At 39.7% G+C, this 27,458-nt stretch overlaps 1 protein-coding gene across 1 annotated transcript in view, besides 1 other annotated feature; it reads left to right on the forward strand.

Annotated features, from left to right (window-relative positions):
* C1orf21 (chromosome 1 open reading frame 21) overlaps positions 1–27,458 on the forward strand; it is a 241,991-nt gene that overhangs the window by 97,331 nt on the left and 117,202 nt on the right. The window contains exon 3 of the mRNA NM_030806.4: positions 23,229–23,323. Within this exon, the coding sequence (NP_110433.1) occupies positions 23,229–23,323 (95 nt within the window). The remainder of the gene's footprint in view (positions 1–23,228; positions 23,324–27,458) is intronic.
* Positions 10,990–11,059: an enhancer, noted in NCBI's record as "active region_2234". NCBI's record gives its function as "activates an Ori minimal core promoter by ATAC-STARR-seq in GM12878 lymphoblastoid cells {active_cell/tissue: GM12878}" and the evidence as "EXISTENCE:reporter gene assay evidence [ECO:0000049][PMID:35858748]".

The following is a 27,458-nucleotide window of genomic DNA, read 5'->3' on the forward strand; positions in this document are numbered from 1 at the left end:
TGTCTTTAAATCCTGCTTGTTTTCCAAATATAAACTTTTATACAGAGCTTCCTCTAATACCTTCAGAAGGTATCTCTTTCCTGCCATCCCAGAATACTTTTTGTTTATTTGATTTATTTGTTTATATGTCTAATCTCTCTTGTGAGCTGGTTAGCTCCCCGAAGGCAGGAACTGCATGGGCTTGAGAGGACAGAGGGCTCCCAGATGGCCAAGGAGCTGGAGGCAGAGAGATTGTTCAGGAATCAGGTTGGGCACTGACTGAACCAGCCCTCCCATATAACTAAGGTGGCCTGCACTGCTGCCAAGTTTGGCTTAAGCCTGATGTTTATAAACATCCCTTTAAATGGAGGGGCTTAGATTATTGCAGTAAATTCTTCTGGAATGATGGTGTGAGACTGAGCAGCAGTAAAGCGAGCAAGAATTTGGCTGCTTTCTTTCACTTGGACTTTGTATTGCTATGTGGCTTCAGTTAAGTTCTGATCCTTGGGTGTACCTAAATGAGAGCATATAACAGATGCTTGTGGCTGTGTGTGTGTGTGTGTGTGTGTGTGTGTGTGTGTGTGATGGTGTTATGCCAATCTATTACTCATCTAAAATGCTGTGAGACCTATTTCACAAGGTTATGGTGAAAATTAAATGAGAAAATACATCAGATTTATTCAGAAATTAAAAGCACTTGGAGGCAAAGTCATAATTCACTGTTTATGTCTCATAATTTTTGATTGCATTCAGCGAAGATGGATTAAAGATACCTGTGTTTGTGGACAGTAACAGAGAGAATAATGTTTGTCAGTGCAGTCCAGCACAGTACCCATGAGCCACATGTGGCTATTGAGCATGAGAAACGTGACTAGTCCTAATTGAGATGTGCTGTAAGTGTAAAATGAGCTTTTAAGTTTCATATTAAATGAATATTTAATATGAAAAAAGAATATAAAATAGCTTATTAATAATTATTGATTACATGTTAAATGATATATTTTAGATCTATCAGGTTAAATAAAATATATGAAGATGAATTTCACCTGCTGCTTTTTATCTAATGTGGCTACTAGAAGCATTAAAAGTACACACATAACTCACATATTTCTATTGCACAGTGCTGATTTATGTGACTGAGAGGTAGCAGTGGTAGTGTGAGAATTTCCTTCTCTTTCAAGTTTTAGTTTTTATTGGATCTAAGAGAAAAGGAGTTTGATGGAGGCAGTGGCCCTCATTTTCTGCTTGGAATCTCTATGCATTAAGTGAGCACTAGGTGTGTACACTCAGCCTTTTGTGTGTCAGGGGGTGATTTGGGCAAAGAGGGGTACATGGGGGACCACCAGAGAGGCAGAATTGGGAGGCAGCTTGGCCAATGAACAGGAGCAATGCCACCTTGCTCCTCTCTGTGCTGCTTAGTGATAGACTTTAGCTGCCTCTACTGTAGCTGTTTTGCTGGCATAAGGAAGCTTCTGTTGGCTTCTGAAGCTGTTATTTCCCGAAGGTGAGAGAGAAAATCATGTTTCCCTTTTTCTGTTTTTAGTGAATCATAGGAGACAGTAAAGAGCCCTAAGGGCAGGAGAAGTGTTTGACGGATTTGTGATAGGCCAGATTATAGTCATAAAAGCTGAGAAATTTAAGTCAAGATAAGTGAGGAACATGGTCTTGGGTTTAGGCTTTGAAGACTCCCTGATGTCTTGAGCTGAGCCTCAGAAAGGTCTTAATGGCTCGAAGTGCACATGGGGCTCATGGAATCACAGAAGCCAGTCGACCTTGGCTCAGAGCTTTTAACTGCATTCTTCTGAAGTAAAAGTGCTCAGCCCAGTGTCTGACTCAGAGAAGGTGCTCAAAATATGTTAGTTTTATTTCCTTTTAGGTGGTTCCTGGGCCATGCTGATGCTCATTTCAATAGGGAAAATGAAACATGCGTGTATGTGAGCATGGAATGGAGTAGTTGTGAATTCTGTCTTACCAGCTGGGGTTTGATTCCAGTGTCACCACTGCCTGTGCTGTTTTGGATTTATAACTTAGCTGCATTTGTTTCCAAATCTATAATATGGAGGTAATAATGGTATCCACCACTTGGAGTTCTGAGGAGGAACACATAGTTAATAAGGAGAGCGTCCAGAACAAGGCCAGTGCACAATTAGCATGGAAGCACTTGTTATAAATAGTAGATGGGCCTGAGTAGACTGGCCCCACCTCTTCACTCTCCTCCCCTCGGCCAGCACAAAATAGATACCATGCTAGATGCCGCCTTGATGCCAAGTTTGGTCTAGCTGAGGTAAAGCCAGCAAAAATTTCTACTTGGAAACGTTTTCTATGACAGAAAGTTAAGAAATGCTCTATACTTTCTATATTAAAAAAAAAATCCAAGTGCTACTTTTCCTTCCCTTGCCAGCTGGTATCATGAGCCTGTTCTTTTGAAGTTAGAGAGATAAGTAGAAAATAAGACCATTTGTCACTCCCTGCTGCCAGGCAGCTGGGTTGCAAGATGAGGGAGCACCTGAGTTTTCAGAGACCATTGGCAGGGACACGCTGGCAGGGCCCTCCAAGTCCCTTTGGTTTTCTTCAATTACTCCCTTGCCCCTTCAAGTGCTTGTATTGTCTGTAGCAGTGGAGACCTGCTGGGTGCTTCCTGGCCCTCTGGCACCATTCAGTGAAAGGTGAAAGGACTGGAGCTGCAGGCAAGGCCTGCTTGGGGATGAGGGAAGTTCTCAAAACGTGCCTCAGTGACAAGAGAGGAAGTCAAAGGTTTCTTTACCTATTGCACTTCCCCTTGGAGTTATTTTCTCCTGAGTGACACTACAGATTCAGACATTCAAAACAATGGCTTCTTCCTGGACTCCTGGCTGGTGTGACTGAAGGGACCTGCCTTGCTATGAGCACCTCTCCAGGCAGCCCCTACCTGGCCCCTGGGCCTCATTAGGCCCTGGCTGTCCTCCGTAGAGACTAGTACAGCTCCTGCCTTCTGCACTTGGAACTTTACATGTGACTGGTTATTTTGCCCCTGAACCGTTACAACTTGGATTTGTGCTTTACGGTGTATGAGGCTTTTTCAAACGTAATTATTATCATGATTATCCCTACTTGATAGAAGGGGAAACTGAAGTTAAAAACTACCCCAGTTCACTTAAGAAGTGGGACGGTGGCTACAATGGCAGATGCTGACTCGACTAAGGGAGATTCCTCCTTGGGAATAACACATTGATATTAAGTCCAAACCAACATTTGCTCAGAAGTCTTTGAGAAGTCATTGTTAACTGGCCACTTGAGGTCAGACTCAGTTTTTAAATGAGGATGTCTGGAGATTCTAATATGGTCATTAGGGCTATTTTCCGTGGAACTGAAATACAATGTTATGGTAAGCACACAGACTGAAAATCTGGCAGATTGTTTTCAGATCCTGGCTCGGCTACTCACTAACATGTAGTCTTGGCAAATTTTTGAGGCTCTTTTTGCCTGGGTTTTCCCATCTGTGTAGTGTGGGGAATAAAACTAGTACTTGCCTGCCTTCATAGGGCTGTTGTGAGACTAAAATGTATTAATATTTGTAAATCTTAGCATAGTACTTGGCACATGATAAGCACTGAGTTAGTATGCTCATCATCATATTAGCAGCCTGCAGTTGCGCAGACCTCTGACCTATGCAGTTTGCATTTCTGAAAATGGTTGCTTGGTTTCCTCTGATTACGCTGGAGGAGAATGCGTCATCAGTTTATTTGTAGATGTATAATTCTCTAAACTTAAAAGATGATCAATTGTCCATGTAATACTTATCTCTTTTAGATTTTAAGATATGTGTGTTCCTATGGTTTGTTCTTTCTCTGGTTTGACCTAGACCAGTTTCTGTACTGTGTAAGATGTATACGTGAATATTTGTCTTTTAAATGAAAAGACCAAAGGACATGCATGATTCAGGAATGATGAATATAATATTATGCCTCATTTCTTTCAAAGTGTAGTTTAAAAGAAATCCCACCATAGAGGTTAACAAATACATTTTTTGCTTATCAACCATAAATCTATACATGAGTGTGTGTGTCTTGTTTATCATGCAGAGTGAGATGTTGGTAGAAGTAAGGAGTAAAGCACCATGAGAGGGCTAGAGGCAGCAGACACAGATGATGCCCCAGTGATTGTAATGGGATAAATGCATCCATAAGCAGCTGAAATAAAAAGATATACCAATTAATTGGGTACCATTTCAATTCACATTTTATTCTTTGAAGATATTCTGTTATTTGTGATTATAATATTAAAAATGAAATCCCCCAATTTATCTCTTCATATTAGAATTTTTCAGATTAATCTAAAAATTTAACTGTCAAATAAGAAACTGTAGGCTGGGCACAGTGGCTCACGCCTATAATCCCAGCACTTTGGGAGGCCGAGGCGAGCAGGTTGCCTGAGCTCAGGAGTTCGCAACCAGCCTGGGCAACACGGTGAAATCCTGTCTCTACTAAAATACAAAAAATTAGCCAGATGTGGCAGCGTGCGCCTGTAGTCCCAGCTACTTGGGAGGCTGAGGCGGGAGAATTGCTTGAACCCAGGAGGCGGAGGTTGCAGTGAGCCAAGATCATGCCACTGCACTCCAGCCTGGGCGACAGAGCGAGACTCTGTCTCAAGAAAAAGAAAAGAAAAGAAACTGTAAAAGTACTACAAAAAACGCAAGTGAGTATATTTATAATCTTAGGTTGCAAAATGTCTTTCTCTTAATGCTACAAAACCCAATACCAAAAGAAAAAGTTTGTGATAAACTGTGATTATATAAAATCTAAAATTTTGATTGGCAAAAAGTAAACTACCATAAACTAAGTCAAAAGACAAATGTCAAACTGAGAATAATATTTGCAATACAACTGAAGTTAATATGACTAATAGAAAAAGACCCTTCAAAATCTGTAAGGAAAGAACTAACATACCAATTGAAAAATGGACAAAGTTCATGGCCAGGCAATTCAAAAGAGAAAAAATATAAAGGGACAAAAGAGTACAGAAAGATATTCTACTTCTCAGTAATAAAATAAACCAAAAAAACAAACCAGCAAAAAAACCCAAAGCAAAACAAAACATTTTTTACCCTTCAGATTGGGCAGGAACAGGTGGCATCTGTCTCATGCTATAATGGAGAATGTCAACGCAGAACAATTTTTCTGGGGCACAAAATAGTAACATATATCAAAAATGTAAATGAGCATGCCCTTTGCCCCAGGAGACCCAGTGCTAGGAATTTATCTTAGGAACGTAATTGGACAAGTGTGCAAACCTGTGTGTTCAAGGGTCTTTCTCACTGATGAAACATGCATGGAATAGAGCCATTAGAGATCAAGGTATTCTATATTTATTGATATGGCAAAAGGTTTGTGACAGATTATTAAGTGAAATTAGTAAAGGGATTTTATGCAGCATATCTTGTTTGTAAATTTTACTTGTTTAAAATATATGTAAAATTCTGTGTGAGTGCATAAAAGAAGTGTTTGAAAGGCCATTCACCAAAACTTTTACGATGGCAGTCTCTTTATTGTGAAGTTTCAGGTGATTCTTAATTTCTTCTTTGTATTTTTCTGTGTGTCTTGAATCTTTTATGTTTAACATTTATCATTCACTACAACTGTTTATTTTGATAAATATAATTCAAATGTTTCCATCTCCAGAAGGCCTTTAGTTGTGTTTTCAGGGCAATGGTGAAATCTATCCCAGAGGAGAAAGCACTATCACTGGAAATAGCCCCAGGGCAACAGGGATCTGACTGATAGAAATGTTAGCCCAGGCATACAGATGGAGTCTGATGACTGGCACTTGTTGGTTTCATTTAAAACCTAGCATTTCACTTCATCCTAAGAAGCACTCGTTGACTACCTTGCATGAATTAGGTGCTGTGCTAGGCACGGAGGCTGTAAAGACGGGTTAAACCTGGTCCCTGCCTTTAAGGAACTGGTAAAGATGCAATAGATGGACATCTTGACAGAAAATGTCAGTACCATAGGGTGATAAGGCAAAAGGTCTCTTTTTCCAAGGAGTGGGGGAAGACTTGTAAAGAGGATGATTAAAGCCTCAGCTGAGTCTTAAAATATGAATACCAGCCAAAGGAACTAAGTGAGACAGAGCAGGAGGTTTAGGCTGAGAGTCAGTGAGAACAAAGGCTTAGAGGTACACCACACATACAATATAGCAGGGGAGACTGGGAAACTTTAACCAACTGGTGGAGACATAACTTTAGAGAATCTCACATTAACGGCAGGAGTCTTAAATATTTGAAAATTTTACTCTGGATTTTTTTTCAAGACACTTAAAAGCTCACATAGACAATGTAAGAATCATGTTAGGGATTGGCAGTTAGGTGAAGATTTAGAAAACAGAAAATTTGATGCTAATTCCTTAAGCTGTCTAAGTGTTCAGCCTCACCTCAGGTTAGATGATTATGAACCCTGAGTAATAATGCCAGAACATGGCCTTATGTAGATGAGACCGTTTACCAGGAAGGGTTAGTAATGATTATCTCTGGGTGGTGCTGATTACTAGTTAGTTTTTGTACTTCTTTTATATTTTCCAAATATTCTACATCCCTTTTTCTAAAGAAGTTTTGTGAAAAAAAAAAAGCATTTTATAACTATGTAGGTGGTGACATTGAGAAAGAACTTGTGGAGCAAGGTATAGTGGCTAATCATATTAATTTGGGAACCAAACTGATAGGTTCCTCATTTGTAAAATTGGAACCTACCTCATAAGATGCTATGAGGATTAAATGAATTAATAAGTAATAAAACACTTAAAATAATGCCTGGCACACAAAAAGTGCTGTATAAATAATCAGTGAACTTTATTTAGAAAGTTCTCTGGATTATTCTCTCATAAACAGCACATTTTCATCTTTATGACAGTAAAGTTTAGCATAGTGCTTTTTTTAATAAGAAGAATAAAAACTTCATTCAGAAAAAGCAAAACTTTTTCCTTAAAGTTCATTTACCTGCAGATATCATTAGTGTGTGTAGTACTTTCCTTCTTTCTTTTTTTTTTTTTTGAAACAGGTTCTGTCTCACTCTGGTTGCCCAGGCTGGAGTGCAATGGCACGATCCCAGCTCATTGCAGCCTCAACCTCCCAAGCTCAGGTGATTCTCCCACCTTAGCCTCCTAAATAGCTGGGACTACAGGTGCAAGCCCCCCATGCCCAGCTAATTTTTTGTATTTTTAGTAGAAACAGATTTTCACCATATTGCCCAGGCTGTTCTCGAACTCCTGAGCTCAAGCAATCTGCCCACCTTGGCCTCCCAAAGTGCTGGGATTACAGGCATGAGCCACTGTGCCCGGCCCTTTTCCTTTGTTTTTAGCAGTAACCGTTATGGTTACTTATAGCAAAGTTCTGGGCCACAGGCTATGAATCATCAATGACAGTGACCTTCGGGGCTTTGCTAGCTCACATGACACTGGTTAAGTGGTTTGGTTTCATTTTGCCTGTTTTCAGCCCTGCACCCAAGAGGTTGCTTAAGCTATGAGAACAAAAGTAAAGATAGGAAATAACTATGATATAATTCCATATCTCAAGTTTATTTTTAGCTAACGGGCCTTGTCTTGCTCTTCATTCTGAGGCGTAAAGTCTCTTAGGAAGAGAAGGAATCAGAAGCATGATGCAGAGTTTGACAATGACTAATTTGAAACGGAGCCATCTTCATTCTTTGTAACTTTAATCTCAATTTCTCAGTTTTTCTCAAATTTTCTACTGTAAGCAAACCTTCACAGAAATAACTCCTCTTAGAGATCACAGTGAGCTATGTGCTGTGTAAGGTTTTATTAGAACAAGCACATAAACAAAAACAAGTGGCTGTAAAGCCCAGTGAGCCCAGTTTATAGAGAAGCCATTGACTTGCCTGCAGAACCTGGTTACATTTGGATTCTGCCACAGAGTAACCATGCTACAGGGTGACCTCTGTGGGCTCTGGTTTCTGCGTCTTGGGAGTGAGTGGGTGGAACTGTGTGATTGCTATGGGAGTGTTGAGTGCTAATGTTCAAAGGTTCTATTTACCTGCTCCCCACACTATGGACAATTCACTCAACTGTGTGGTGTCAGTTTCTTTCCTGCAGTGGAGCCATTGGCAAGATTATATATGATTATTGCTTTGTTGATTGCTCTCAGAAAAAAATGGTGGTGGTGGTAGTGTTCAGCTATTAAAAGCTTTATGGTCCAGAGTTGACCAAATTGTTAATTGCATTGTGATATTTACTTTTTCAATGAAAAATTAGAAAGAAGTATCACCAATATCTTCTGTAGCTTCAGAACATTACCATGAGCCTGAAGGTGAGAAAGCTTGAAGTGTGTGGAGTTGTATCTCTGCTTCCACCTTGGCTGGCTGGTTTGTAAATTTATCTTTCATCCACTGATGCTTAAATTGGTGCTGTGCAGCTGCTGCTAGTCAGTGAAGGATTCCATTTGTTGGCTTTCTGTTTAAAGGTTTGTGGTAGAAGTCAGGGTAGGGTAGATTGGTCCTGTTGTTTGAAAAGGATAATGAAATATCTAATAGAAGACAGTTATAAACAAAATCTAGGCCAAAAGGAGAACATTTAATTTCCCAGGTTGCTGATTTTCTCAAGAGCTACTGTACTATGATCTGATCACTCTGAGAGTGTGGTTTTGTTTATTAACTTATATAGCTGTACTCTGTTGGTCCAGCCAGACTATAATAGGGCAAGAAGAAGTAAAAATTTACAGAAAGTCAGATTCTAAAGGATTATATTTCTGTGGCTATAATATTAAGTATATATAAAATTCTCTAAAATGTAACTCACAACACATGTTTAAACTATGAATAAAAATGGTCTTTGACAGTTTTTTAAAGGTTACATAATTAAAGTTTCTTGGTTGGAACAGCCATAGCTGGGGAAGATGCCTGCTGGAGAGGACACAGGCCGTGAGGAATACAATGTTTATAGTCAGCTTTCTTCATAGTAATAATCTGTGCTGGAAGCTATAATATAAATGTACATTTACATTTTATCTAAAAATAATTTTAAAAGTTTATGTACATGGCTATAAGCATTGAAGGTAAAAGAGTAAGGGTGAAGTGAAAAATCATGATGTTAAATAGCACATCTTTGAAGCTAATTAATTCCTTCAAATTGCAAAACAGTCACACGAGTACAAATCTTTATTTAGACTACGTTTGATTTTCATTTGAAAACCACATTCAAGACAAGCTAAATTACATTTAAATTCCCTTCCAGCTATAGATATGCATGCCTCACTGTATAAATGTCACTGTTGATTTTGATCTATAACCAAAGAAGAAATTGTCAAATTATGTATGAAATAGGATTTTATTTTTAATGTGGCACCAAGTATTTTTGCATTTATTGTGTTAGCTGTTTAACACAATATTTTTTCATTAACCTTTTAGTCTTCATTGCCTTCTGTCACTCAAGAGATGTCTTTTTATCTGAAAGTGTTTATAAGATCTTGAGTTTGGAGTGCAGCTTTCCTCCTTTGTTTCTTGCCTTGTTTCCCATGATGCAATTGTTAAATGGCCAGCATGTTAAAATGAAAGACAATGTGCTTTTAACTCTGATGGAACTCTGAAAATTAAAGTTATTCATTTAAGAACTATTGGTTGAGCAAATACTATAAACTGGATTTTACTAAGAGATATAACATGTAATATGATAATGATTGCCCTCATTTGGCTCACATTCTAGCAGGTAATAAAGGTAATAAAAAGAGAGACAAACATGTACTGTCAGGGAAAAGTGTCATGAGAATACAAAAGGGGATGGAGAGTTGACAGGATGGCTGTTTCAGAGTCATCTGTCAGAGAAGGTCTATCTGAGGAACTGACCTTTGAGCAAACCATGAGAATACCTGGGAACAGAATGTTTCAGGCAGAGAAACAACAAAGCCAAATTTCTGAGAGGGAGCTGGCTAGTGGATTCCAGGAAGAAGCCTGATGCCCTTGTGCCAGTAGGGTGATGGGTGACAAACTCACAGAGGCAGTCCAGGGCCGGACTGTACTGCTCTGTACACTGGCTTCTGTTCTAAAGGTAATAGAAGTCAGGAGAGGGTTTTGAGTGCAGGGGAGTGATGAGGTCTGACTGCTACGTAGGGAATAGACTATAGGAAGAGAGTGAAGCAGTTGACCAGTTAGAGTCTTGCTCAGTAGTCCTAGCAAGAGATGTTGGTGGTCTGGATTAGGGAGGTATGAATGGAGATAATGAGATATGGGCGGGCTTGGGATATTGGGGAATGATTAAATATGAGCTTCATTAGAGCATATTGTATCTGTGGTTTTCTCTGTTAAGGGCAGCAGTGGGAGGTAGAATTTTGTACCAATACAAGCTCCTCTTTAGTGGTGGCTTGCAGGAGGCAGAGTTTTTATGTTTTAGAGCAATGACCATGGTCTGAGGCTTAGCAACATGGAATGAAAAATGAAATTTGAAAATTGTGAAAGCAAAGATTTTTAAGATGGGGCTGTAAGGATTAATAGGGTCAAAATTCTACATTAATGTTTTTTGCTTTTGCTTTTTTTTTTTTTTTACCTTCTTGAGGCAAATTTGTTTGATGCTAGCTGGGATAAAAAGAACATCATTAACAGTTAAATTCCTACTTCAGTTTCCAGGGCTCAGCTGTACCCAGGCACAGGGCATGGCCCAAGTGAGGAGAAGTGCTGCAGCCCTAGAACCTCCTGGGACTGCAGTTCATCTGCACAGCATGTCATCGTCACACAGTGACATCTCATTTCATTCAACCTGAGAGTGAAGGGGTTTCAGACATGGCTTGCTTGTTCATTTTTAGCAAGTTTCTTAAGGGCCAGGGTGCCCGAAGAGGCAAGTTTCTACTCTCGCCTCCCTTCCTGTAACAGCCACCTCCCTTTCACCTGGCTCTTGCCTTCCCCCCGCAACATAGACTCTCATCCCTACACTCTTTTGTTCCTCATGGAACTCTGAGCTCCAGTTTCTGATCTCCAAGAGCTGCTCTGAGCTTTGATCCCTGTTCCCATCCTCTTCACTTGTACCCACCATCCCAGTTCAGTTTATCTTTCTTTTTATGTCTTCCCAGAATAGGAGCAGTGCTCTATGAGAAGACAGAACAAATACGCAAATGAAGCATAGATCTCTGTGGAGGTCAAACCAAGCCCCCAGATAATTTCCCATTCTGAATCTCCTTTCTGCTTTGCATTGTTACCTTTTAAAGAAAAAATTAACGTCAATATACTTACTCATCTTCCCTCCCTCCCCCCACTACCAGCATCACCATCAAATAGCATCAATATTCTCTGTAAAAGACACTGTTTTTGTTTATTACAAGATATGGTGGGCCAGGTGTGGTGGCTCATGCGTGTAATTCCAGCACTTTGGGAGGCCAAGGCGGGTGGATCGTGAGGTCAGGAGTTCAAGACCAGCCTGGCCAAGATGGTGAAACCCCATCTCTACTAAAAATACAAAAATTAGCCTGGCATGGTGGCAGGTGACGTAATCTCAGCTACTCGGGAGACTGAGGCAGAGAATTGCTTGAACCCGGGAGGCAGAGGTTGCAGTGAGCCAAGATCGTGCCACTGCACTCCAGCCTGGGTGACAGAGTGAGACTCTGTCTCAAAAAAAAAAAAAAAAAAAAAAAGATATGGTGAGTATGTAAGCTTTCTGTTAGGTACACTCACTTTTTTGTAGAAAGTTGGTTTTTGGAGGGTTTCTTTGCTTCTGCAGATTGTGTGGTGAAGAGAAGTTGGCAGAAGGTGAATCCTGGAAGATGAGATGTTAAAGGAGTGGCCCACTGGAAGGGGTAGAAAAGGGGGCAGGTAACAGGTTATTTGCATGGGGTTTGGTAAGCCAAGGCCAGGTCTACCCATAGAGCATCCTGAAGGAGACACAAACAGATAATTTCTGGGCTCTCCTCAGTTAAAAGGAGACTGAAGTCTTAGTGCAGGAAGGAGTTCAAGGCCTAAAACCCAGACCTTACAGTGGGTAATGTGGCTTGCTCTGTAGGGAACAGTTGCCTCAAGTGGTGATATCAGCTGTTTCTGGAAACTGACATAGTGAGAGTATAAAAGACAGTAAACCTGCAATTCTTGCCCTACTGCTTTGGCAAATATTTCATTGTTTATGTGCTGCCAAGACCCCCGGATTTCGGGCACACCTCTCTCAGATCCAGTGGGAGCGGTGGAGAGTCACATTCACCCACTGGCTTGATCAGGTGAAAAGATCTCTTTGCACCTTGTATGTGCTGCTTCAGTTGCAAACCAAATAAGAGGAATATTGGACCATGTCCAGGTCATGCATTATACTTGAAAATTATTGAATTCTGGAATTTTACCTAACTCAGGCCTTCAAACACAAGCAGCATCTCAGAAGAGCAGCTCTCCGCTTGAAAGAAGACAGTAGAGAAGATGTGCTAAGGTGCTGTGGCTGTTTTGCACCCTGTATGAGCTATCCACCCCAGTTTACGTTTGGCTTGTTTATACAGAATTATGTAGGCCTTTCATACTTTGCTATAGGTTAAAAATGTCTAACTTAAAAATCATTAAAAGTTCTAGAAATTACTGCAGTTCTTTTTTTCTATTGCACATCTTTTTTGAGAAAGCAGCATATAACATTACCTTTAAGAACATTCAAGGTGTCTTACTCTACGTTTAAATAGGTTACAAATAGATGGAGGGTGAGGGTCCATGAGGACCACCTCTGCATCAGCTCTATGTCCTCAGGCTCTCAGTACAGAGCCTACCTTTCTTTGGTTGATTTTAATTTAATCGAACCGCTCTGAAACCTTCATGAATGAATCCTCATACCCTCTCCTCAAAAGATAAATATTCAGAACAGCTACCATCTTTTACAAACAAACTGAGCAGAATGTGTTGCCAAAATAGGCTTGTTCAAGCTTCCCAGGTTGTGGAAGTTAGTGTGTTCATATTTACTGTGCTGCCCACCATTAAGCTATCATGGAGCATGCGTTTTCCCCACTCACCCAGACATTATTCCTAAAGAGCTATTCTTTGTTGTTGTCAGAACACACTTTAGTCTCTGAGGGGAAAATAAGTTGGTGATTCGTATCAACTGGAAATGATCTTTTGTTTTATGTGAATGAAGCTCTTGTGAGAAAAGGTACAGACGGTCAGAAGGAAAGAAGGAGAGGGATTGCCTGCTGCCTCCCCGCGTGCACACACGAGAGTGGGTGCTCCCACCAGCTTTCAGGGGGCTTTCTTCACGAATGTGAGCACTGATTTTGGGAGATCTGCAGTGGAAAGTCAAGTCATGAATATTTTTTATAAAGAGAGAAATGATGTAATTTTATCACAGAAGATATTTCAGATGTATTTTTCCATTTTAAAAATTCATTGGCAGTGCTCATACAAGAGAATTACTTGAGCTGAAAATGACTCTGTCCAGTTTCTTCCTATTTCGTTAATGATTTTGCAGCCACTGAATTCTTTCTAAAAGTTGTATAACCCAGATAAAGTCAGGCCTCCTGGAAGCCAGCTTCAGCCCAGAGACATACGAAAAGAAGCACCAAATATCACTGAAAACCAATTTAAATTTATACTGAATAATCTCATTCATAAACCACAGCACAACATTCTGAAGCCTGCCCCTCCAAGAATCTATAGCTCTCTGCCACTCTGATGACTTTTCATCTGTCTCTCTTCTACCTCAAAAATCTCTCATCTCTCTCATCTTCTGCAAAACTTTCCCTCCTGCTCAGCCTACTCTGGGCTTTCAGTGCCTCGCTGTATCTATTCTATGCCGCTCATTAGCTTTGCTCTTTCCGATGTCAATCCAGACCGCCACAATTCTCCCACTAACCTCCTCACCCCTTCCCCAATCTGCATCACAAAAGTGCACTAGCCCATCTGGCCAAAGGCAGCTCTCCTCCACCAGGTGGCTTGGGGGTGGGGGCCTGAGATGCTCAAAGGCTAATGCTTTATTCTGTGATGGTTGTTATCTGAGAATTTTTCATTCACCGAAATTCACTTAAGACCAAATCCAATTAAATGAATTAAGTCAGATGCGCATAAAGATCATTAAGATATATTTCTTCCTTAAGACATGCATCCATGCGTGTATGTCTATGCGTTCTCTCTCTCTCTCTCACCTTTGGCCAAATTGTTAAATGTTCAGAAGGCAGTCACACAAATGAAGAAGAGTTTTTGGAATGATCATATAATTTCCTAATCCTAACAGCCATCCTGTAAATCCATAACCGTCAGTCTCGATGGCAGTGAAGAAGTAACTACAGATGAGTCAGCAGACATTTATTCCTAGCCCTGGAAAAACAACTCATGTTTTAGGTCCTCCTGATGATGGTGGAGTTTCATTGATTTCATATACAAAGGAGGGCATGTGAGATACTATATTAGTATCTTTTCATATTTGCTGTTATTGCAATATAGTTTACCCTGAAAAAGAACATCACTGTTTGTGGAAATGATGCATTTTGTGAAGTGCTGTAGTCCTGCAGGTTTTGTAATGGATATCAGTATACAAAGAGAACTTTTCATTTTATCAGAAATTTACTTCACTACCCATTTGTGGGAAACACTAATAAGAGCATGGGCTCTGAATCAGACCACTGGGTTCAAGGCCTGGCCCAGTCCCACCACTCTGTAGATGTACAGCTAGATAACTGTGCCTTAGTTCCTTTTCTTTATGATGGAGACATTAATGGTTCCACTTCATAAAGCTGTTGTCAGCATTAAATGGGTTATATGTGAAACTTTCAGAACTAGATCCAGAACATTGAAAGGGCTCTGTAAATGGTAGCTCTCATTTATCCTCCTCCTCCTCCTCTTCTGCCTCCTCTCCTTCTTCCTCCTACCCCTCTTCTTCCTCCTCCCCTTCCTCCTCCTCCTCTTCCCCTTTCTGCTCCTGTTCACTTTAGTGAAGGAAAATATCCTTGATTTTATTGCTTGGCCTTAATGCTAAGAATATATGTCTAAGTTCTAGCAGAATATCAGCAGGCCTTAAAATGAAGTTACTTTAAGACAAGTTGTAAAGACATTGCATTAATTACCATATATTGGAGAAAAACTTCAGTTTTCTCCTTTTAGATGCAGTGGTGGTCAAATCATCATTTTAACGCAAGATTTCACAGCATTTCCTTTGGATATCACATGAATTCCTAACTTAAGTAGCACAGGGCTGGTATTCTCCCACTGATAAAGGCCCCAGAGAGGTGACAAGAGAGGATATGGTAGTTTTTCTGATGTTATCCATGAAGGCTAGATGTACTTCTAACTTTTGCTCATCTCTCTGTGATTTACAAAGGATTATGATTTGGAAATGTGTCCACATTCTTTCTGATATACTTTATTCCTACATCATCTCCTGAAAAAATTACTTCTTGTGCTTTGTGGTAGGAAAAAAAAAAAAACTGACTTGGTAGTTAAGAGCCTGTCTCTAGACTCAGACCAACCAGGATTTGAGCCCAGCACTACCCTGTGACTAACCAACCAAGGACAAATCTCTCTGCAACTGTAAAAGAGAGTCATGATACTGGCCTCATAGGGTAGACATGAGGATTAAGTCAAAGCAGGGGAGAGGATAGCTGACTAGGACAGCCTTTTATCCTGAGTGGTTACCAAGGATAACAGGAATCCTGCTAGGAGTAATTGAGAGGATTTAGCTGACCTGCGACTTCAAGAGTCCCAGCAGTTCTTCAGTGGGTGGAAAATGAGCAGTAGGAGAGTCAGAGAAGGACTCTTGGGAAATTAGATAAATGTCTCTCAGAACAACCATGCGTGTCTTCCCTTTCTGGAAGTGGCTCTGAATCCTTGGCCACTCATTCTGTTCCTTGATTGGGAATGATTACTGTACAGCACAGGTGTTAAGCCCCCTCCTGCTATAGAGAGCCTTGGTTTGCAGTGCACCTTCCTAAAAGAGTCCAGGCTGGATTTGGATCTGGTTGTGTCTTTTGTCGGAGCTTGTCAGAAGATGAATGTTCCAGGGCCCTTAATGACTGGATAATAGTTCCTTGGTCACTGAATAATGAACCCCAGATGAATGAAGGAAATGTGTTGTCTGGCCTCGGGAATGATGAAATGATTCAGGAATGGGGCCTGCAGGTCCTGGACCTCTTAATTATTAAAGGTGCTGTCGTGACAGAAGCTTTATCATTTTGATCCTTCTTATAGAACCTCTGAACCCTAAGGTCACCCTTTCCTCCTTGCAGCTGAGGGCGCCTTTCATCTTGTGCTCTCAAAAACATGGGCAAGACCCTAGGATTGCTAAGAGACTATATCATCCTGTGCATATGCATCTCAGCTCATTCAGTTCACCCAGAGAGGTCTATACTCAATCTCCACAGCACACAGCTGGGAAGTCACAAAGCCAGGTGCAGAAGAGAAAGGTCTTTTGAAGCCAGTGCTGTGTTCGTTGTAATTCACTGGTGTGCTGTTTCAGTGACAGTTAAAGGAGAAGGAGCTGGGATCATGATTCAGTGGCATTCTCTTTTTCCCCTAGGATAAGTCATGACTGCTCCTCATTCTGAGGACAGTGATGCCTCCTGGTCTTCAGGTGAAGGCATGTCTGTTGGAGGAGGCAGGAAACAAGGCCCTGGGATATGTTGCATCTTAAGCCTCATACCCCCAGCCCCCCGGCAGCTGACCCTTCTTCCCTCTTGAGACTTGCTGTGACTTCTCTGGCTCCTTCCTAGTCTTCCCCATGTGTTCTTCCTCACCTGCCTCAACAGACTGGTCCATCTCAGGATGTATTAATCAATTCCACCTTTGCCTTTTTTCAGAGAGAGGCAGAAAGCCCTGGATTAAGCTGGTTAGGAGTCTCCCCAGAGGAGATGCTTGAGGACAGGCCAGAGGAAAGAGGCTTAGCCTATTAATGGCAGCTTCAGTGCCTGGACACTGGCCAGGGAGGCCATATCACCTTCAGAATGGAGCCTGACTCCTTAGTAAGACTTGTATAAGGTCTTCGGTTCCTGTAGCCCTATCAGCCTTTTCTTGTTACACCTGTCTTACCTCCTGGAATTCTTCATGTCTGCCATGTTGCATGACTTGCTGTTCCCCCCATTTGCTGTGCTCCCTTTGGCTTTGGAATTCACTGACCCCTTGCCCGAAAGCTCCTTCCCACACATAGGAGCTGTGTTCCTTAGGACTCCACTGAGATATATCACGTCCTCCAAGACTCCGCTTAACCTTGATTAGGGGTCTCTTCTTTCTATTCTTATAACCACCACCCCCACATGTGCTTTTCATGGCCATAAAAACTGTACACACTACTTTCTTATTTTCTTACATCCTCTCCTACTCGCCATTAACTCCTTTAGAACAGGGACTGACTGCTTCCTTTCCTAGACATATTCCCAGGGCTGAGTGTTGTCTCTGGCACACAGTAGGTGCTTTATAAATATTGTTGAAGTAAAGAAGAAACACAGAAAGGATAGCAGGGGATAGTGCCCAGCACTTGACTCAAGGACAGAAAGCAGATAGTTTCTTCCATCTTTATGTCTGGACTAAAATCAAGAGGTATTTTTGCTCAGACCTTTTTGGGCCAGAAGTGTCCCCATAAAATGGTGTGATTTGTGGGAGTTCATAGAAGTCAATAAGAAAAACACCACACCTCTAATAAGAAAAAAAGGGCAAAGGATATGAAGAGACACTTCACAAATAAAGAAATACAAATAAATGATCAACACATAGGAAAAGTATCCAGTGTCACTAGTAAATTTTAAAACATTAAACAAAAATAAAAATTAGATACCATTTTCATCCTTCAATTTATTACATATTTTACAAAATGATAATACCCTTTATTAGTGAGGCTGCACTGAGATGAGTCTTACACCACTGTGTTAGTTCATTTGTGCTGCTGTAACAAAATGCCACAGACTGGGTATTTTTGCAAACAATGGAAATTTATTTTTCACGGTTCTAGAGGCTGGGATGTCCAAGACCAAGGTGCCTGCATTTTGTATCTGATGAGAGTCCGCTTGTGCCTTCACATGGCAGAAAGTGGAAAGCAAGCAGGCTAAATTCACGCCTGCAAGGCCTTTTACAAGGGGCTGTAATCCCATTCATGAGGGTGGAGCCCTCATGACTTCATCACCTTCCAAAGGCCCCACCTCTCAATACCACCGTCATGGGAATTAAATTCAACATGAATTTTGGAGGGAACGTCAACATTCAAACCATAGCAACCACCAAGCAATAATAAGCACCACCACAGGGCTTTTCATTTCTTTTTTTTTTCGTTTGCTTGTTTATCTATGATTTAAATGTAAATAAGCATTAGGTTTCAGTAGTGAATAAGGATACAAAAGGCATATGAGAATTGCTGTCTTAGTGACATTAACATTTTTGGATTATGAGGTATCATAAGGGATATTTACAAATATGTACAGTCTTTATACTTCCCCTCGTAGAGATACAGTGGTCAGACACCTTTCATGTCTAGTCTCTGCAAACTTAAAGACATAATTTTCCTGCTTGTTACTTTTAACAAATCATATTTTTAGATTATTAGAACTTAACGTGGCCATGCATGATGGCTTACACCTGTAATTCCAACACTTTGGGAGTCTGAGGTGGGAGGATTGCTTGGGTCCAGGAGTTTAAGACCAGCCTGGCCAACATGGTGAAACCCTGCCTCTACAAAAAATACAAAAATTAGGCAGGCATGATGGTGTGCACCTGTGGTCCCAGCTACTCAGGATGCTGAGGTGGGAGGATCACTTGAGCCTGGGAGATGGAGGTTGCAGTGAGCCGTGATCATGCCATTGCACTCCAGCCTGGGTGACAGGGTAAGAAACTGTCTCAAAAAAAAAAAAAAAAAAAAAAAAAGATGTATCAAGCAATCTTATTTTGAAATGTTTGCCTCTATTAGGTTAATTTGAAGCAAACTCTGGAAGGAACTGAGAATATTTTATACTAAGTGTACCAAAGCTTCTTGTTAGGAAGTTTATAACTACCCTAAAAGTTGCTTAATAATGACTATTACATTGGAACTGACTAAATCACTTTCTACTAGTGAGGACAGTAGTTATCGTTCAGGGACTTCCTGACTCAGGGAATTGATAGTGGTATATGAGGTTCTTTAGCTGAGTCTTTGTGTGTAAGTTTACTCCAAATTTAGAGTCAGCCCTAGTTATCTGTGGTCAGTCAAGTAGAAGATGGGTTCTCAGAGCATTAGTCTTCCCCTCAAGACAGCTGGTTTTCCTTGGGCGCTCTCTGCTGTCCTCCGTCCCCTCTCCTCTACATCCCTGCATCGCTTAGTACAGAGCCCAGCACATAGGTACTCAGACTGTACTGAGTGTACACCTTCCAGATGAGGACAGTGTAGAAGTAAACCATAGTTAGCTATGCTGAAGTGATTGACGCCTTCACTCTTCTCTGCTCTTTAATTCCTCTCCAACAAACTTGTGTTCAACCCAATAAAGATGTTAGGTTCTGACCTATTGCTAGCTACAAAACTAGAACTCGTGGGTCAGACCCCATTCCTTCCAAGCTTTGCAGATAGAAGATCTGCCACGAGGTTACCTTTGTATTTAATAGAACTGACTTTTAAATGAATCAACTAGAGAAATGGTTGCTGGAATGAGTTTGGCATGTCAGGATTATTAAAAAGTTAAAAATTTTCATAGATGTACATGTTCAAGGGAGAAGCAGGAAAAACGGCAGAAACAGACTGTACCCACTACTGTTTGAGATCAGAAGGGATCTTACAGTTTTCTAAAATGATGAAAATTTGAATCTACTCTGACACCTTCTCACGTAGTCTTCTTTTGATCAATGCCACTGAACAATCCCAGCCCCACTTGGATGTAATCTGAGGAATAAAATGCTAAAAATATCACCCAGGCGTTGCTTTTACCCCAGATCTATTTTGACTAGCACAGCCTGCAACTGTTTACATGCAGAGAACAGGAGTCAGCCTACTGTTCCCGACGTGCATTTTAATAAGCCACCTGACAAGATCAACAGGAAGAAAAGAAAAATTGGGAACAGGTGCAAGGAAGCTGGGGGGAGCCGAAGGAAGACAGGTCCTGTGTCTCCCTTCTCTTCCTCGAGTTGGCACGTTTTTCTGCGCCAGGACCCTCTGGCTGTAACGGTGGCTGTCTCCATTTCTTCCAGTGTGGGCTCTGATAAAGGGAACCTAAAGTCTCAAATTAATCCCCCATGTCTTCAACAAAAGGAAAACTGGATTTTGGTAGTGATTGTTTTACTGTCGTAACCCAAAATGCTTCATTCATTCGCTCAGAGGCTGGTTGGTGAGGTAGGACGTTCCTGATGGCTGCCTTGCCTTGGGAATGTGTGGTGCATTTGCTGATGAGATGTCTGTTTCCAGATGGATATCTTCCTTCCCGGCACCAGCCTTTGAGAATGTGACAGACCATTTTTAAATATTTGCTTTGTACAAATTGTGGCCTATTGAAGGATCTTGCCCAGCTTTTTTTGTTTTATACCGTGATGGATTTTGTGCGGTGTGTTGTGTAAGTAATAATGATAGGTCTGGCTTTGTAGTCGTGGCTGTTTGTTTTCTCTTCCTTTGTATCCAATCTTATTGTGTTCCTCTTAACACCACGTTGGCTAGCCAGCCAGGGTTGTTAATGACATGTTAAAGCCTATCTTCTGTCTAAATTGGTGGGGATTCTGTCTTGATTTAAAAAATGGCCTGTGTTTAGAATAATGCTGCTTTGAAAGTCATGTAGCCAGTAGCTTTTCCATTTCATTGGAAAAACATATTGGAAAAGTAGTAATAGTTTGTCCACTACCTTCAATTTAGTTGTGTTCCCTGGAGGGATAAGAAAATGAAGACTGAATGTCACTGGGCTGTTCAGAGTATGTCTGCACTAGTCTGTGGCTTGGCAGACGGGAGAGGACAGTGGGCAAGTGCAAGGGCATCTCCTCCCTAGGAGAAACCTTCACTACACAGTGGGCAAGGGGCCATCTGGGTCTTTCAGAAGGTTCTGCTTAGGTCCAAAAATGTTACCCTCTTCCCCATCCTACAGACAAAATCATAGAATCCACTTGTGATACATAAAGAAATATATATATATATATATATATATATATATATATACACACATGCCATATATATATAGACATGTATATATTCACCTATATATATTTATATCAGTGTTCTGTGTATTTAAATAATTAGAAACTCACCATTAGCAATTAAGTTCACAATTTAGTTCAGTTAAAGTTTATTAATAGTAGGCCAGGCATGATGGCTCACGCCTGTAATCTCAGTACTTTGGGAGGCCGAGGCAGATGGATCACCTGAGGTCAGGAGTTCGAGACCACCCTGGCCAACATGGTAAAACCCGTCTCTACTAAAAATACAAAAAATTAGCCAGGCATGGTAGCAGGCGCCTGTAATCCCAGCTAGTTAGGAGGCTGAGGCAGGAGAATTGCTTGAACCCGGGAGGCGGAGGTTGCAGTGAGCCGAGATCACACCATCACACTCCAGCCTGGGCAGTAGAATGAAACTCTGTCTGAAAAAACAAACAAACAAAAAAATTATTAAGAGTAATTATCTCAGTCTGCCAGGATTTATAAATATTAATGTCCCAAACTGAAGTTAGGGAGGCCCATTTTTACCTTTTTTTTTTACCTTTTATTTTTATCTCTGTGTAATTGTGTTGGGGGCAAATTTGTCAGTGTCTTCTCTTTTTTAATTAGCAATTGTTTTTCCAAATTCTCAGTAAATAATCCTTCATCAAATTTGTCAGTATTATTAATTTACATTCATTTTTGTCTCTTCGAAATACCAAGTTGGTATGTAGAATTCTTTTGTATTGTAATTGTGGATCAGAATCTGCTGATTAACTTGTTAATATATTTAGGACCTGGTATTCCTAAAGGGCTCATTACTGAACCTCACACTAGTCTTTCTAATATCTTTACAAAAAAATAGAATCAATAATAACTCTAAATTGTCAGGTGGAAAAAACAGTTGGCTTAGTGAACATGAAGTCTTTATTCAGATACATGCAAATGTATTACATTCTTAAGAATGATAATTTTGAGAAACATTTGAACAGCATAATTACTTGCAGAAATATTACTGTAACGAACATCTTTGGGAGTTGTGTGTTAAGGGGTGATATGATGAGGAAACCTGAAACTATATTAGAAAGTGGTGTTATAGATACTAAGATAAGAAATTAAATAAGAGTATAGTCTTTTTACCCATTTAATCATAGTTAATAAGAAAATATATTGCAACTTTCTGAACTGAAATATAAACTCTCTTAGTGATAGACAGCTGTCTTTCAGGTGGTTCCTATAGTTAGACATTACTTCATGCTATATGCCAGACAATCGTTAGTTTGTTGGTTGATGATATTTTCTAATTTCACAATTTCTGTGATGTTTCCCACAGATTGGGTTAAGAATGATTCAGAGTCACACCTATTTTTGACTTTAGTGCGCTCAAATCATTTCCTGTTGACAGGAATCTGATGGAAATGTCATCATAGTGATCAGTCTTCTGGAGAACTGAAGCTGCAAGTTTTCCTGAGTTTGTTCTATGGTGTATATTGATACTGGGATCTGTGTTCTCTGTCTGGCTGTTGCGGAGGCTAGGTCCCATCCACATCCCACTATACTCTCCAGCCTTGACTGATGTACCTACCATTTCATCTGTTAGGTATAATAGCTCTTCATGCATATGACTTTACAGAGAGATTGAATTAAAGTGTATATATACATATATATGAAATAAATATATATATGAAATAAATATATATATTAATGTGAAATAATTGCAGACTGCTAAAATTTAATATAGGGATCACAGAAAGAAAAGTCTCAATTCTTCAGTTGTTTCTATTTATCAATATAACTCTTTAGTCTTACTCTGTTTTTTCAAAAGGGAAATTAAAGAATGAATATGTCACTGAAAATTGTTGGCACAGGCATTTTGGACTAATACTCTCTTGGAGAAAAATAAGAATATTCTCTTGAATCTTATCAGACAGTTCTGTGATATGTCCTAGTGTAACATACATTTCAAAAAGTCTTTAGAGATGGAGTATCCTGTTTCCTCTGCAGCATTTGCTCTCTGTGGAAGGACCAGGCAGTGACACTTTGATTAGAAGCATTCGTGATGCTGAGCTTTTTCTAGTAGACAGAGGAGAGGGGCTCATAAAAAGATCTAAGATGCCTAGTTAAGCTTCTTCCAGATTGTTCCAAATGAACCACATATGAAGGCCACAGGTGAAAGGGTCTAGCAAATTACACTATTGGGATTTTCTGACTGACACTTTTCTACTATTGGGAAAAAAATTATAAAATGTGTTTTCTTTTTTTGGCACTCAGATGAGTATAGGATCAAACCAGTGGAAGAGGTCAAATACATGAAAAATGGGGCAGAAGAAGAGCAGAAAATAGCAGCCAGGAACCAAGAAAACTTGGTAAGAATTGATTTTCTCACTTAACAATGAATTTTGGTGACACTATTGTAATAAAATCTGCACTGCATGTTTTAACTGCAACTTACACACTGGCACAAGATTTCTTGAAAATGCTGCAGCTATTTATAGCTTGCCTGGAAGCTGCACCATTACTCCTGTATCCTGTTTGTCTCTGAATAAGCCCTTCTTTAATCTTGATGGGGAATGCTCCATAAAATATAGCAAAATTATTCGTGTTTTAAAATAGCTAAATTTAAGGGAAAAATAATGAAGTAGGATTGAGGTTTGTGAGGGGAGGATTGTTTTAGTTTTGTTTTTTTCTACCTCTTCTAACTCATATCCAAATCAGGATGAATGGTTGTTTCATTATTCTAGACATGTAATGTTGACAAAGTTGCTTTTCAAAGGAATCAAAGGTCATTTTCAAAGGAAAAGCAACTTACTTCAAGATAAGTCTTTCTCCAGAGAGTCAGTACTTCACATTCACAATATTAAGGGTATTGTGGGTTTTGAGTTTATGTGAGAATTGTGAAGATCTGAAACAGGAAGTTAGGAATCCCTTTTTTGAGTAGGAATCAGTATACACATTCCATCTTAACATCCCATATCTATAAAAACATTTAGCTAATTATAATATAGATGATTTCTTAAAAGCAGTTACAAATTGTTAAGAATATGTATTTAGTTGTATTGGAGCAAAATTGTTTTTGTTGTTTATATTTTATTTTTTGATTACCTATATTTGCTTTTTTCATAACTGAGTTAAAAAGGTATTTTTAAGAAGCTCTCAATGTCATATAATACTTTCACTTGACTTAAACTCGTTTTTTTATAATGTGCTTTGTTTTTGTTTTAATGACTTCTGCTACAGCAGAGGAATTTGGCAGAATATTAAGCAGTGCACAGGAGTATTTAGGGCTGTTATTTTCCATTACACATTTGTGAATATTGGAGGCTGATTCTTTCCCCTAATTCTTTTCTGAATATATGATCTATAACTTGAAATACTGAAGTATCAACAAGTGAATATTTTAGATCATTTTCAAGGAATGAAAATATACTCTAGATAATGAAGTTTTGCTTCATAAATGGGATTTGGATTTTAAAGTATCACTTAAGACACAGAGATTCATCATATCTAGAGTGATAATGTATTTTAACATTAACACTTAAATCCAGGAAAGTAGCTATGACTAAATACTAAAAGTTAATATTACCATACTGCCTACATGGTGTTTATTTTGTTTTGAATGGATAAATCGAAGACCTGAGTATTGAAATATCAGTAGTCATTTTTCTACTTTATTTTACTAAACAACAGAGTTTGTACTTGCTTGATATAGTTTCAGCTTGAGTTATCAATCTCATCCTTAATAATAATATTTACTGTAGAGGCTAGAGAGCTACTTGTGAGTAGTCTGGCAGTGGTTTCTCCTTAAATCTACTAATGTGTGTCTCTGCTTCACATGCTTATGTCTCTAGAACCAAAGAAGCAACACCTTGTATAGTTTGTGAGTTTTTTCTCAGTGTGCTTTCATCATCATATTTAGGACCAGTATAACTTTTTTCCTTCTCTCGCAGTTTTGCAATCTGTCAACTACTTGGTACTTGGTGTATTCTTTTTCAGCATTGTGGTCAGAATCAGACTGAATAGGAATTTGAAAAGAGAAAAATATTTGGTCATTCTGATTTATTTGTGGATTATCTGTGACAAGCCTCGCCCCTTTGCTCTGCCAGCCAGCCAGAGTCCAGGATCCCAGTACACTTCAAGTGTGTAAAGGTTTGCATGGTGAATGGGGAGTAAATAGCTATCTTTGATCTGAAATTTCTAGACTGTTTTCCAAAATTAAGTGACTGTTCAGTTATTTGGTAATTTGTTGTCTTTGTTACCTACTCCATCCTTTGGGGAACATAATCAAGTATTGACCATACACATCATTTGAAAAAATACCAATAGCCTCCTAAACTTGAAGCTTAACATTGGAAGGTGGATAAAATAGATTTAACAATTCTTTTTTTAAATAAAAAACACTCTTTAAAATAAGTATCGAGAAGTTCTTGATACTTATTTTACGAATGATACTAAGATGTAGGTTACAGTGTTTTTTAAAAGTTTATTTAAACTCAAACTGTTGCATTGAAGGGGCTCAGCAAACACAACCAAGGAAGTATGGCATGATGGTGAGGACTTAGGGTTTCAGTCTCAGCTCTGCCACTTGCTCACTGTGGAATCAAGTTCTTTATTTCTCTAAACCTCCCACCCATCACGTGAGGAAAAAACAGTGCCTCATAGTCCTGTTGTGAGTACTGCGTGAGATGATAGTCGTAAGACTGAGTTCAGTGCTTAGCACATGATAAGCACCACCTGTAAGAGTTAGGCATCATCATACAAAACAAAAGGAAAGAATAAAGAGTGTTAAAATCAGGTTTCTTTCTTTTTTGCTTTATGTTACTTGGTGAGAGCTTTCTAAATGAATACTTATTATGTATTTATTTATACCTATTATGTACAAAACACTCACTAAGTTCTGAGAGACACAGAGTACTTGAAGTCACAGTCCTCAAGGAGCTTACGGTATATTTTCGCTCAGTTCAACAAATATTTGATTGCCTCTTGCAAAGAGAGTGCCTTTGCACTAGACTGCAGAGAAACAGATAAATAAGGAAACCACTGATCCTCAGGGTGCTTGTATTGCAGTGGACAAGGTAAGTATGAAATGACTATGAGTAAAACAAGGTGAGATTGAACTTTGAGAAAGAAATACAAAGAGCTGCAGCTATTCAAAGGAGGCAGAGAACTCGTCTATTGGGGCATCAGGACCTACTTCATGAAAAAGCTGACATTTACGATGGGCCTCAAAGTATGGAATTGGGGACAAGTGCCCAAGCAGAAGTAACAGGTGGAAAACATAAGATATATTTAATAAAAAGCACATAGTCCTTTTGGTTGGGAAATGGCAGAGAAGAGGAGTAGGTGTCAGTAGGGAAGCAGTGGGAGATTAGAATCAAAACCCAGATGGGCTAATGTATAGAGCCTTAATGTCCAGCCAAGAGGCCTAAAATTAATGCAGTGGATTAAATGGAGGCTTTGAGTGGTCATAAACTGGGGATTGGTAGAATGGGATTACAATTCAGGAATGTTTATGTGGCAACAGCTGGTGTAATATGGATTTGGTTGGGGAACCAAAATGGGAGACCAGTCACAATAATTTTTTCAAGAGGTAGTAAGTCTGAACCAAGGTGTTGGCAGGGAGAGTAGAAAAGATTTGGGTAAGGTTGCAGAAGTAGAAGCACAAGATTTGACAGCTCATTAGATATTAAAGAAGACCAATGAATCAGGAGATGGTAATGCCAAGATTTAGACCCGCTGGAACGATGATGAGTTGGTGGTGGTGAGAGTAAGTAGTGAGCATAATGATATGTTGAAATCAGTAGGAAGATTGTGTTTGAGGAAAATATAAGGTATCCATCCATTCATTCTTTATTTATTCCTGTTAATCTTTAAAAAGCTCAAAGTATAGTACACAAAAGAAAAAGTTAAACCATGGATCATACAACAATGTAATAAGTGCAGTAACAGAACTTCACCTGTTACTACTAGATTCTTAGACAGTCAGATTATCTGGGAGACAAAAGCACATCATACATAAACCCCCCTTGGGAACCCGCTTTCTGGTAGCAGATAGCAGGCATGTGACCTAAATTACCACAATTCAGGGTACTATGTGAAAATAGAGGTTGGTTTTGAGCAAGCAGAGCTTTAGGAACTTGTAGAACATTCATGTGGAAAAACTCTGGTGAAGAGATGGAAATGAAGGTGTGCAGCTCAGCAGCATTGCTTGAGACATGTCAGGTGTTCAGAATATTTTTGTTGGTTTGAATGAACAGAAGAATGAATGAATAGGCATAGTTGGGCCTATAGGTATACATTTAGATCAAGTTGATGGCTGAATGCTTGATATATTAGTCCGTTTTCATGCTCCTATAAAGACATATCTGAGACTAGGTAATACATAAAGCAAGAGGTTTAACTGAGTCACAGTTCCGCATGGCTGGGGAGGCCTCAGGAAACTTACAATCATGGTAGAAGGGAAAACAAACCCGTTCTTGTTCACATGGTGGCAGGAGAGAGAAG

This window comes from Homo sapiens, chromosome 1 (genome assembly GCF_000001405.40).
Source record: "Homo sapiens chromosome 1, GRCh38.p14 Primary Assembly".
NCBI classification, from domain to species: domain Eukaryota; kingdom Metazoa; phylum Chordata; class Mammalia; order Primates; family Hominidae; genus Homo; species Homo sapiens.